At 39.2% G+C, this 13,395-nt stretch overlaps 1 protein-coding gene across 7 annotated transcripts in view; it reads right to left on the bottom strand.

The window, feature by feature from the left end:
• The window catches only part of USP31 (ubiquitin specific peptidase 31), an 88,047-nt gene that overhangs the window by 33,478 nt on the left and 41,174 nt on the right, over positions 1-13,395 (bottom strand). For 5 of the 7 annotated variants that reach the window (NR_170599.1, NM_001387221.1, NM_020718.4 and 2 more), the window contains exons 2-6: positions 13,163-13,300; positions 11,516-11,604; positions 11,330-11,422; positions 10,558-10,693; positions 7,436-7,580 (exon numbers count right to left, since the gene is read on the bottom strand). Coding sequence is in view for 6 of the 7 variants with exons in the window: in NM_001387221.1 (NP_001374150.1) it covers positions 7,436-7,580; positions 10,558-10,693; positions 11,330-11,422; positions 11,516-11,604; positions 13,163-13,300 (601 nt within the window). In the remaining variant the exon portion in view is untranslated. Of the gene's footprint in view, positions 1-7,435; positions 7,581-10,557; positions 10,694-11,329; positions 11,423-11,515; positions 11,605-12,447; positions 12,532-13,162; positions 13,301-13,395 lie in introns of those variants that run through there. The other 2 variants (XM_017023498.3, XM_017023499.3) reach the window with 2 other exon arrangements.

The following is a 13,395-nucleotide window of genomic DNA, read 5'->3' on the forward strand; positions in this document are numbered from 1 at the left end:
CCACAAAGATGGGGAGAAACCAGAGCAGAAAGGCTGAAAATTCTAAAAACCAGAGCACCTCTTCTCCTCCAAGGATCGCAGTTCCTCGCCAGCAATGGAACAAAGCTGGATGGAGAATGACTTTGATGAGTTGACAGAAGTAGGCTTCAGAAGGTTGGTTCTCTGAGCTAAAGGAGCATGTTCAAACCCATCGCAAGGAAGCTAAAAACCTTGAAAAAAAGGTTAGACAAATGGCTAACTAGAATAAACAGTGAAGAGAAGAGCTTAAATGACCTGATGGAGCTGCAGACCATGGCATGAGGACTTTGTGATGCACGCACAAGCTTCAATAGCCAATTCGATCAAGTGGAAGAAAGGGTATCAGTGACTGAAGCTCAAATTAATGAAATAAAGCAAGAACACAAGGTTAGAGAAAAAAGAGTAAAAAGAAATGAACAAAGCTTCCAAAAAATATGGGGCTACGTGAAAAGACCAAATCTATGTTTGATTGCTGTACCTGAAAGTGATGGGAAGAATGGAACCAAGCTGGAAAACACTCTTCAAGGATATTAACCAGGAGAACTTCCCCAACCTAGCAAGGCAGGCCAACATTCAAATTCAGGAAATATAGAGAACACCACAAAGATACTCCTCGAGAAGAACAACCCCAAGACACATAATTGTCAGATTCACCAAGGTTGAAATGAAGGAAAAAATGTTAAGGGCAGCCAGAGTGAAAGGTCAGGTTACCCACAAAGGGAAGCCCATCAGACTAACAGCAGATCGCTCTGCAGAAACCCTACAAGCCAGAAGAGAATGGGGCCAATATTCAATATTCTTAAAGAAAAGAATTTTCAACCCAAAATTTATATCCAGCCAAACTAAGCTTCATAAGTGAAGGAGAAATAAAATCCTTTACAGACAAGCAAATGCTGAGAGATTTTGTCACCACCAGGCCTGCCTTACAAGAGCTCCTGAAGGAAGCACTAAACATGGAAAGGAACAACCGGTACCAGCCATTGCAAAAACATGCCAAATTGTAAAGACCATCAATGCTAGGAAAAAACTGCATCAATTAACGGGCAGAATAACCAAATAACATCATAATAACAGGATCAAATTCACACATAACAATATTAACCTTAAATGTAAATGGGCTAAATGCCCCAATTAAAAGACAGACTGGCAAACTGGATAGAGTCAAGACCCATCAGTGTGCTGTATTCAGGAGACCCATCTCATGTGCAGAGACACAAGTAGGCTCAAAATAAAAGGATGGAGGAAGATCTACCAAGCAAATGAAAAGCAAAAAAAAAGCAGGGGTTGCAATCCTAGTCTCTCATAAAACAGAATTTAAACCAACAAAGATCAAAAGAGAAAAAGAAGGCCATTACATAATGGTATAGGGATCAAATTCAATAAGAAGAGCTAACTATCCTACATATATATGCACCCAATACAGGAGCACCCAGATTCATAAAGCAAGTCCTTAGAGACCTACAAAGAGACTTAGACTCCCACACAATAATGGGAGACTTTAACATCCCACTGTCAACATTAGACAGATCAACAAGACAAAAGGTTAACAAGGATATCCAGGACTTGAACTCAGCTCTGCACCAAGCAGACCTAATAGACATCTACAGAACTCTCCACCCCAAATCAACAGAATATACATTCTTCTCAGCACCACATCGCACTTATTCTAAAATTGACCACATAAATGGAAGTAAAGCACTCCTCAGCAACTGTAAAAGAACAGAAACCACAACAAACTTGTCTCTCAGACCACAGTGCAATCAAATTAGAACTCAGGATTAAGAAACTCACTCAAAACTGTACAACTACATGGAAACTGAAGAACCTGCTCCTGAATGACTACTGGGTAAATAACAAAATGAAAGCAGAAATAAAGATGTTCTTTGAAACCAATGAGAACAAAGACAACGTACCAGAATCTCTGGGACACATTTAAAGCAGTGTGTAGAAGGAAATTTATAGCACCAAATGCCCACAGGAAAAAGCAGGAAAGATTTAAAATCAACACCTTAACATCACAATTAAAAGAACTAGAGAAGCAAGAGCAAACACATTCAAAAGCTAGCAGAAGGCAAGAAATAACTAAGATCAGAGGAGAACTGAAAGAGATAGAGACACAAAAAACCCTTCAAAAAAATAAATGAATCTAGGAGCTGGTTTTTTGAAAAGATCAACAAAATTGATAGACCGCTAGCAAGACTAATAAAGAAAAAAAGAGAGAAGAATCAAATAGACACAATAAAAATGATAAAGGGGATATCACCACTGATCCCACAGAAATACAAACTACCATCAGAGAATACTATAAACACCTCTACACAAATAAACTAGAAAATCTAGAAGAAATGGATAAATTCCTGAACACATACACCCTCCCAAGACTAAACCAGGCAGAAGCTGAATCTCTGAATAGACCAATAACAGGCTCTGAAATTGAGGCAATAATAAAGCCTACCAACCAAAAAGAGTCCAGGACCAGACGGATTCACAGCCAAATTCTAGGAGCTGGTACCATTCCTTCTGAAACTATTCCAATCAACAGAAAAAGAGGGAATCCTCCCTAACTCATTTTATGAGGCCAGCATCATCCTGATACCAAAGCCTGGCAGAGACACAACAAATAAAAGAATTTTAGACCAGTATCTCTGATGAACATCGATGCAAAAATCCTCAATAAAATACTGGCAAACCAAATCCAGCAGCACATCAAAAAGCTTATCCACTATGATCAAGTTGGCTTCATCCCTGGGATGCAAGGCTGGTTCAACATATGCAAATCAATAAATGTAATCCATCACATAAACAGAACCAATGACAAAAACCATATGATTATCTCAATAGATGCAGAAAAGGCCTTCAACAAAATTCAACAGCCCTTCATGCTAAAAACTCAGTAAACTAGGCATTGATGGAACGTGTATCAAAATAATAAGAGCTATTTATGACAAACTCACAGCCAATATCATACTGAATGGGCAAAAACTGGAAGCATTCCCTTTGAAAACTGGCACAAGACAAGGATGCCCTCTCTCACCACTCCTATTCAACATAGTGTTGGAAGTTCTGGCCAGGGCAATCAGGCAAGAGAAAGAAATAAAGGGTATTCAATTAGGAAAAGAGGAAGTCAAATTGTCCCTGTTTGCAGATGACATGATTGTATATCTAGAAAACCCCATCGTCTCAGCCCAAAATCTCCTTAAACTGATAAGCAACTTCAGCAAAGTCTCAGGATACAAAATCAATGTGCAAAAATCACAAGCATTCCTATACACCAATAACAGACAAACAGAGAGCCAAATCATGAGTGAACTCCCATTCACAATTGCTTCAAAGAGAATAAAATACCTAGGAATCCAACTTACAAGGGATGCAAAGGACGTCTTCAAGGAGAACTACAAACCACTGCTCAATGAAATAAAAGAGGACACAAACAAATGGAAGAACATTCCATGCTCATGGATAGGAAGAATCAATATCGTGAAAATGGCCATACTGCCCAGGGTAATTTACAGTTTCAATGCCATTCCCATCAAGCTACCAATGACTTTCTTCACAGAATTGGAAAAAACTACTTCAAAGTTCATATGGAACCAAAAAAGCCCGCATCACCAAGACAATCCTAAGCAAAAAGAACAAAGCTGGAGGCATCACGCTACCTAACTTCAAACTATACTACAAGGCTACAGTAACCAAAACAGCATGGTACTGGTACCAACACAGAGATATAGACCAATGGAACAGAACAGAGGCCTCAGAAGTAACACCACACATCTACAACCATCTGATCTTTGACAAACCTGACAAAAACAAGAAATGGGGAAAGGATTCCCTGTTTAATAAATGGTGCTGGGAAAACTGGCTAGCCATATGTAGAAAGCTGAAACTGGATCTCTTCCTTACACCTTATACAAAAATTAATCCAAGGTGGATTAAAGACTTAAATCTTAGACCTAGAACCATAAAAACCCTAGAAGAAAACCTAGGCAGTATCTTTAGGGACATAGGCATGAGCAAGGGCTTCATGACTAAAACACCAAAAGCAAAGGCAACAAAAGCCAAAACAGACAAATGGGATCTAATTAAACTAAAGAGCTTCTGCACGGCAAAAGAAACTACCATCAGAGTGAACAGGCAACCTACAGAATGGGAGAAAATTTTTGCAATCTATCCATCTGACAAAGGGCTAATATCCAGAATCTATAAAGAACTCAAACGAATTTACAAGAAAAAAACAACCCCATCAAAAAGTGGGCAAAGGGTATGAACAGACACTTCTCAAAAGAAGACATTTATGCAGCCAAAAAACACATGAAAAAATGCTCATCATCACTGGTCATCAGAGAAATGCAAATCAAAACCACAATGAGATACCATCGCACACCAATTAGAATGGCAATCATTAAAAAGTCAGGAAACAACAGATGCTGGAGAGGATGTGGAGAAATAGGAATGCTTTTACACTGTTGGTGGGAGTGTAAATTAGTTCAACCATTGTGGAAGACAGTGTTGCAATTCCTCAAGGATCTAGAACTAGAATTACCATTTGACCCAGCAATCCCATTACTGGGTATATACTCAAAGGATTATATATCATGCTACTAAAAAGACACATGCACATGCACATAAAAAATTAACTCAAAATAGTTCAAAAAACTATAATATAAGAGCTAAAACTATAAAACTCTTAAAAGAAATTATGGGGTAAATCTTTATGACTTTGGATTTGATAAAGTGTCAGACATGACAACAAAAGCACAAGGAACAAAAAAAAATAGATAAACTGGACTTCAATAAAACTAAGAACTTTTGTGTTTCAAAGGACATTATCAGGTAGTTTTGACCACCCACAGAATGGGAGAAAATATTTGCAAATCATATATCTGATAAGGGTCTAGTATTCAGCATATGTGAAAATTCCTAAAACTCAACAACAAAAAGCAAACAATGCAATTTTAAGATGGGTAAAATATTTGAATGGACATTTTTCCAAATATGATATACAAATGGCCAACAAGCACAAGAAAAGATGCTCAACATCATGTCAGTGACAAACACAAATCAAAACCATAATGAGATACCACTTCATACCCACTACAATAGCTAAAATTAAAGAGTCAGATAATAATCAAGTGTTGGCGAGGACGTAGAGAAACTGGAACCCTCAAACACTGCTGATAAAAATGTAACACGGTGCAGCCACTTTGGAAAAGTCTGTAAGTACCCCAAATGATTAAACATAAAGTTACCACACAACCCAGCAGTTCTATTCCCAGGTATGAAGAGAAACGAAAACATAAGTCCACACAAAAACTTGTGTGGAATGTTCACAGGAGCATTATTCACATTAGCCAGAAGGTGGAAACAACCCAAATGTTCATTAACAATGAATAAACAAAATGTGATCTATTCAAACAATAAAATATTATTTGGCCACAAAAAGGAATTAAGTATGATATATGCTACAACATGAATGAATCTTGAAAACATCACACTAAGTAAAGCCAGTCACAAAATACCATGTATTTTATTATTCCATTTATATAGAAGTCTAGACTAGGGAAATCTGTAGAAACACAAAGCAGAATAGTGGGCCGGGTGTGGTGGCTCATGCCTGTAATCCCAGCACTTTGGGAGGCTGAGGCAGATGGATCACTTGAGGTCAGGAGTTCGAGACCAGCCTGGCCAACATGGTGAAACCCTATCTCTACTAAAAATATAAAAATTAGCCAGGTGTGGTGGCATGCGCCTGTGATCCCAGCTACTCGGGAGGCTAAGGTTGCGGTGAGCCAAGATCATGCCACTGCACTCCAGCCTGAGCGACAGAGCAAGACTCTGTCTCAAAAAGAAAAAAAGAGAGAGAGAAAGTCGAATAATGAGTGCTTAGAGCTTGGCAGGATGGGGAGACTGGAAGGTACCTTGGGAAAACAAAGCAGGAGCTAACGAGAATAGAAGCTGGAGAAGTGAATCCTCAGCACAGCAAATGGTAAGGAACATGGAAAAGCACATGGCATGTCTGAGAAACAGAGTAACCTGAAAGAGAAGAACCGAGGAAGGAGAGAAAATGGAGTAGAGAGACTGGAAAGAAAGGCAAGGACCAAATCATGGCAGGGGAGGAGGGGGTTATGCTCCTTTCAAGGTGTTTAGATTTGATCTTAGAAAAGGGGAACCACTGGTAAATCAATAGCATGTAACATGATCAGAACTGTGTATTAGAATAAGTCTGTGGAGAAATAACTAGACAGGAGAAAGTTCAGTGGTAAAGATAAAAACTTACTGGAAAGGCTCAGTTGGGACTCGCCTGAACTACGTCAGTGGCAGTAGAATAAAGGGGAAAAATGCAGTGTGTGTCAACAGCTCTATGAGAATTTTGAAGGAGAAGTTATCAAGCTTGGATCCAGTTTGAGTGAAGAGGAGGATAGTAGTGCCATTATTTCTAGAAAAAATGCAGGAGCAACCAATCTAAGAAAGAAATGCTAAGGGTAAGATGCCTGTAGGATTTCTAAGTAGAAATTCCAGTAGGGAGGTGGAAGTCAAGGAATGGAACTGGAATCAAAAGAAAAGTGGAGGCTAGTGGGGGAATTCAGCTCAAAAAATCAAGGCGTGGAAAATCCTGATAAGAGCGGCAGTTCTCACTTAGCTTGCATCACGATCACCTACCTAAAGGGCTTGTTTACCAGAGTTTCTCCTTTACTCGGTGTGGAGTAGGGACCAAGAATTTGCATTTCTAACCAGTTCCCAGGTAATACTGATGCATTAATAACCACTGGGGTAGAGCAAAAGAAGAGGAGCCCTAAGAGGAACCCTGAAGAATGCTGTGGCGAGGAGCAAAGTCTGAGTTGCTTGGTAACTCTTAAAATCAGAATAACCCTGTAACTCCAGGCACAGTGGGGAGACAAGCTAAGTTCCAAATCACAGCCCAAACCGCAGTAAGAGGAAAAATACTGTCCAGGGCTTTACTTCATTTTGCTGCCTATCAATGAAGAGTTACATGCAAATTTCTTAAAAGCAGGTACCAAGAAAACATTCTATAGCAAAAATGTTAGAATCTTAAGAGCTGATAGCAAAATTTAAAAAAAAAAAAAAAAAAAAAAAAACCTATGGCATAGTATATCTTCCTGAATGTCATGATAAGATGCCAAAAAGGCTACTTAAAGAGGTCACAGTCAGTCCTAAATCTCAATAAGAGGTTTTCCCAACTAAACTATGGATATATCTTTGCCTAAAACAGTAAGAGCTGCCTTCTTCTAGGAAAATATTACTATAAGATTTTTACCATTATACCATCATTAAAAAATCATGTGTATTTTACCACAATTTAAAAAAAAATGTATATCATTATATAATAGACAACTAAAAAGGTAGACTATAGTTAAACCTGCAAACCCAGGTGGCATTATGGAAACAGGAGCTCCCTTACCTCTTTGACTGAGAATTCCTTCAGGCCTAAATATTTCGGGAGTCTCAAAGGCAAAAATGCAGTCGCTTTCATGGACTGTTTCCAGGTCGTCTGTATCACAAAAGGAACGATGGAACCCATCATAGTACATTTCTGTTAACACAATCTAAAAATAGGAAAAATGTAAACAGGTGGGTAACTGGAAATTCGATACTAATTGATCTCCCAATTCTATGAACTTCTCCAGACCATCAGGACTGGCAGTGGTCTGAGAGACATCTCGCAGAGCCCACTTTATTTGCCTTTAATGAGAGAATCCTGGAAGCACAGTACCCTCTGTAATTATATAACAATATACAGTCACCCCTCCATATCTGTGGGTGCTACATCTGTGGATTCAACCAACTGCAGATCAAAAATATTCAGAAGAAAAAAAAAGGATGATTGAATGTATACTGAACAGAGTCTATTTTTTCTTGTCATTATTCCCTAAACAATATAGCATAACAACTATTTACATAACATTTACACTGTATTAAATATTGTAAGTTATCTGGAGATGATTTAAAGTATATTGGAAGTACAATTATTATGTATCCATAAAATAAAAAGTAAAAATAAATAAAGTATACAGGATGATATGCTTAGGTTCTATGTAAATACTGTGCCATGTTATAAAAGGGATTAAAGCACTGTGGATTTTGGTATCCTAGTGCAAGGGTTCCTACAACCAATCACATGGACACTGAGGGACACCTGTACTCTGATGCAGAACTCTATGACTCTAACTCCAGAGTTTCTCTAAGTTTTAGTGTAGAAGAGAACCAGGAGATCATAATGTCTAACCTCCGTTTCACTGAAAGAAGAGAAGCCAAGAGACTTGCCTAAAGTTCTACAACGATTCAGCCTCATGTCAAGGACAGAGTCCACATCTGACTCTGAGGCTTTCTCCCATATCATTTAATTTTCTATTTTTCAAGCCTAAACCACGGATATTTGTATTGAAAAAAAAAATCAACTCAAATGTCCAAAAATACTAACTAGTTAAATGTAGTATAGCCTTACTGGAATTATAAAGCTACTAAAAAGAATAAACTATATATATTTGCACTAACATGCAAAAATCTAAGTAAATACAAAGCAAGGTAAAAATAATATGTGTAAATGATTCTACTTATATAAAATAATGTATATATGCATGGAAAAAATCTAAATGGATACTATATAACATAGTATTAAAGTCAGTAACCCTTCGCATTAAGATACCTAGTATGAGATACTTCCTCTTTCTGTTATATTTCTGAAATGGTTATTTTACAATAAAACAGAAAAACAGGACAGGCATGGTGGCTCAAGCCAGTAATCCCAGCACTTTGGGAGGCCAAGACAGAAGGACTGCTTGAGGCCAGGAGTTCAAGACCAGCCTGGGCAACATGCCAAAACCTCGTCTCTACGAAAAATACAAAAATCAGCTGGGTGTGGTGGCATGCGCCTACAGTCCCCACTACTTGGGAAGCTGAGGTGGGAGGACTGCTTGAGCCCACAAGGTTGAGGTTGCAGTGAGCCATGATCACACCAATGCACTCCAGCCTGGGCAACAGAGTGAGACCCTGTCTCAATCAATCCATACATACATACATACAAACAAACAAACAAAACAGAAAAACAAAAGATGGAGAGGAGAACACTGGAGACATTTAAAGACTTCATTATATGCTCAGCCACGCTGTCTAGTGAAAAAGCACTGGATTGGGCATGCAGGTTCTGGTCCGGCCTGTCATCAACCAGCCCTGCAAACCTGAACAAGTCACATGCCTTTTCTGAGCCTCTTTCAAATAAGGGAGTTGGACTAGACCTATGAGGTCCCCTCTACCAGCACTAACATTCTGCAAATCTACCAGGTAAAAGGGGTCGGTGGTATATTCCACAAATAGTCCAGCAAAAATGTTCCTGGCACATTTTCCTTCTAATGAATTTAATGACCATGTTGTTTTTCTGCCGGTGAACAAGCAAGTAAAATTCACTCTCTTCAGCAAACTGAGGTCAACAGCAAACTTGTAATTATTTCACCAATTTAAACCACATGCAAAAGGAGCCAGACAGTGCTGGAAGCTCTAAAGATGCAACCAGATTTGCCCTGGACACCACCGAAGCCTCGCTCCCTCCCTTTCTGCCTTTCCCTCATCCTGAAGAGAAGAAAGAGCCAATGGGCTTTTCAGAGTAGGAAAGAATATGAACATTTTATCAACATGCCAGTACTTGGCCTGCAAAAATATGAGATATTTGCCATATTAGGGCAACACTGCTGGCTGTATTTGTTTTACTGTGGTAACTTCCCAAATGAGGCCACATGAGGCCAAAGTACAAAACACCTTTATTATTCCAGGGATTACACAGTAGCTTCCAGAAGCTACTATCTAGGGAAAGCAATTTAGCTACGGAGTCATCTTTCCTTAATAAATCTTAAGTAAGGAATGTTTTTCCAAATAAAATAATAATAGTAAATTGAGTAAAAGCTATATGCAAAAACATGTCAAGTCCAAACAGGTCAAAAGTATTTTTGGTCAATTTCAACATAACTGCTTATCAAACATTTACCCCAAAAAGGGATGCGGCATGGGCACAACTTTCCTTTCTCTTCTCTAAACAAGGTAAGAGACTCTGGTCCAGCCGTAATGAGAAAACAAAACGTATTGAGCATCTATTACGTACAGAACATTGTACTAGCAAGATATCCACTCTTATCATCACAATGGGAAGGGGTTTTCTAGCGTCACTGCTCAAGTTTTCAAAGCCTCTTTGACTATCTCAAACACTGCGAGGACGCTCCACTGCCCACATACACATCCACAGGAATGATTTAAGAAGGGTTAAGTAATTATACCTTATGAACAAAGCTACAAGAAGGTCTTGGTGTAAAGTCACAGCTTCTTTTAAAATTATATACACAATTAAATGAAACATGAAAAGTTTCTATATACATTTTAGTCTTTGGGGCCTTGATTTTTTTCCCTAAACTCTAAATGCAACTGGTTTTAAATCTCTATCCAACCATACTTGGCAAAGAACTGTAAAAAATTCTAAGAGAACAGAAAGCAATACTTTTGTGGCTCATGTGTAACTGGTCTTAGCAGACTTATTACCTGATCAGTGGGGATCTTTGTTTCCATAGACACTGCTTCCCGAAGTCTGGCGACAGTCCCAGACAGAGGTACGGCCACACCAATCCTCATGCAGTGAGAACATTTGCCTTGATACACTACAGTGACATAGAGAGGCCTGTACAGATCAAAGTCAGATCTTCTCATTAGTCACTTATTTCAACTAAAATATAGAAGATGCAAAATAAACCTGAGACGAAATCAACAAAAAACTAAAGCTAACCCACACTGTTACTCGGAAGCCCAAATGGAAAAATTTCACTTGGCTCTAAGCAGAACTGTCAAACAATCATCAAGATCTTTGGAAAAGGCAATCTTCATAAAATGAACATTCTATGAAGCAAACAAAAATATATCTACACTTGATTCTGTGCTTTGTATTTTCTTTAGAACAGCATAACTCCTGGAAATGTTGAGAAATTGTTCAAAATAAAGCAACGAAGAAACAAGAAATGTAAAGTAAGGTCTCTAGAGAATCCTGAAGTCACTCAGCAGCCCCCGTCCCCCAACCCCGATACTATGTGTGGATGACGAACTGGGCCAGACTACACAGCCCCTGCTTGCCTCATGTGCCTGCTCACCCTGCAAACTCAGGAGGGCATTTATTCTTGTAAGGTTGTAGCAATGACTGTATTCAATCCCATTATTAATCCCATTACCTGTCTAAATAAGTAAGAAGACCTAATAGGAGCCTACAGAGGCAAAGGGATACCATAAGAAAATACAGTCTTCATTTTACTAAATCCATTCTTACCTTGTGTGGGGCAGAGGAATTGGCAAAGAAATGCAAAGGAAAGGATCAAAAGTGTTGCTCTGTTTCTGACAATGAGGACACGTCAAAGAAGATCTTCAAAACAAAAAGGTAAGACGCTTGACATTAAAATCACCCAGAACGATGTCAGGTAAACAAAATAAGTGGAAACATCCGATTTTCTCATACCTGTATTGCGCTTGAAAGAGTTCTTGTACAAAAGTGCTACAGACAGGGAAAGATGGTCCCTCAGGCATCATATCAGTCTCTGATGGTGGCTAAAAAAAAAAGAAAGTACAACTTCACAGACTAGAAAGACCAATTCTTGGTTGAAGATGAAGCTAGAGAATCACATATGATCTTGACTTCCTTTACAAGCTATGCATCAAGTGCAGATACTTCAGTGACGGGCACCTGCTAAAGGAGCCAGAACACAGCAGTAGGATGTGGGTCACGTGGACTCATCCCCTCACACAGACTCTGCCAGCAATCGTCTCTGCACAGCACTCAGCCGGGCAGCTCCCCTTCCCCAGGATGCTCCAGTTCCCCTCCAATTCTCAAAGCCCCCATCCCAATCTCCTCTAATAAGTAATCCCCAACCACTTTAAAAGTACTAATATTGGCCAGGCACAGGGGCTCATGCCTGTAATCCCAACACTTTGAGAGGCAGGGGTGGGCGGATCACTTGAGGTCGGGAGTTCGAGACCAGCCTGACCAACATGGAGAAACCCCATCTCTGCTAAAAATACAAAATTAGCCGGCTGTGGTGGCGCATGCCTGTAATCCCAGCTACTCAGGAGGCTGAGGTAGGAGAATCACTTGAACCCAGGAAGCAGAGGTTGTGGTGAGCCGAGACTGTGCCACTGCACTTCAGCCTGGGCAACAAGAGCGAAAGTCCGTCTCAAAAAAAAAAAAAAAGTACTAATGCTTCCCATGCCTAAATTCCCTAGTACCTATTACCTGTGCTCTGTATGTTGGTGCCTAATCACACTCTACTTCATGTTGTATTTAACTTTTCATGTCCCTCCGCCTAACAATTAGTTACTGAGCACCTGCTACCACATGCAGAGAGCACTGTACAGAACATTAGGATACAAAGATAATAAGACCCAGTGCCTGACCTTGAGGATGTCTCAATTTGGTGGGAGAGTCAGCCACACGCATATAGTCATATGACAGAATAGAGTGTTCAGGCACAAAAGGACCTTGAATCAGAATAATTTAAAACTTACCAAACTTAGAAATTTAAAATTTGAAGTACAGAGAAGAATTATCAAAAACTTTAAAAGCTGCCCAAGGGAAGCAACTCTTTAGTCTAATTTTTTTCCATTATATAAGTCATTTTACCCATATTTGTAAGACTACATGTATAAAATTAAGAATTAATTGCTATGTTTCTCAATAAGAACATTCTGGGGCTACTATGGTCAAATCCAATCCCAACAGCAGAGAAAATCCATACGTTTCCTTTATGATTGTGTATTCATTCCAGTGAACTACAGAGTATGTGTCTTACTAGAATAGAAAGCAAACATATTCTGCTTTAAAAACAGTTTAGTGAAATGGAATCACTTTTTTTAATCTGAAGCTCATCATACATGCAAATGTTTCCCCTCTCATTAGACTATAAATTCCTTGCGGACAACAGCTCTTGTATCTTACACTGCCAGCACAGTAGTAAACAAAATGAAATGTCCTTTAAGTAGCCACTGAATCTTATACTCACCCAGAGCTTAGTCAATTTCATTGTATTAACGCAATGCAACAAGTCCTCAGTAGAAGAATCTACACACTCTCATGGCTGGCTGACTGCCCTAGGGCAGCATGCGTCCTTACCTTCAGAGGAGGCTGGCCACTCTGCTTCACTGAATGGTTGAGGTCTTCATGAACTCGGTCCAAAAGCCACAGCAGAAACTCCTGGGCATCATGTTGGGAATTTCCCCGGTACTGCAGTGCATTCTTTGACACAATAGTCTATGCAGGTAAATAAATCACCATGAACAGCTGTGAGTTCCTGGCTTTAAAGAAAAACTATTTATTCATAATCGCAAAAGGGATGCAAGATCTCA

The sequence above is a fragment of the Homo sapiens genome, chromosome 16 (assembly GCF_000001405.40).
Source record: "Homo sapiens chromosome 16, GRCh38.p14 Primary Assembly".
NCBI classification, from domain to species: Eukaryota; Metazoa; Chordata; class Mammalia; order Primates; family Hominidae; genus Homo; species Homo sapiens.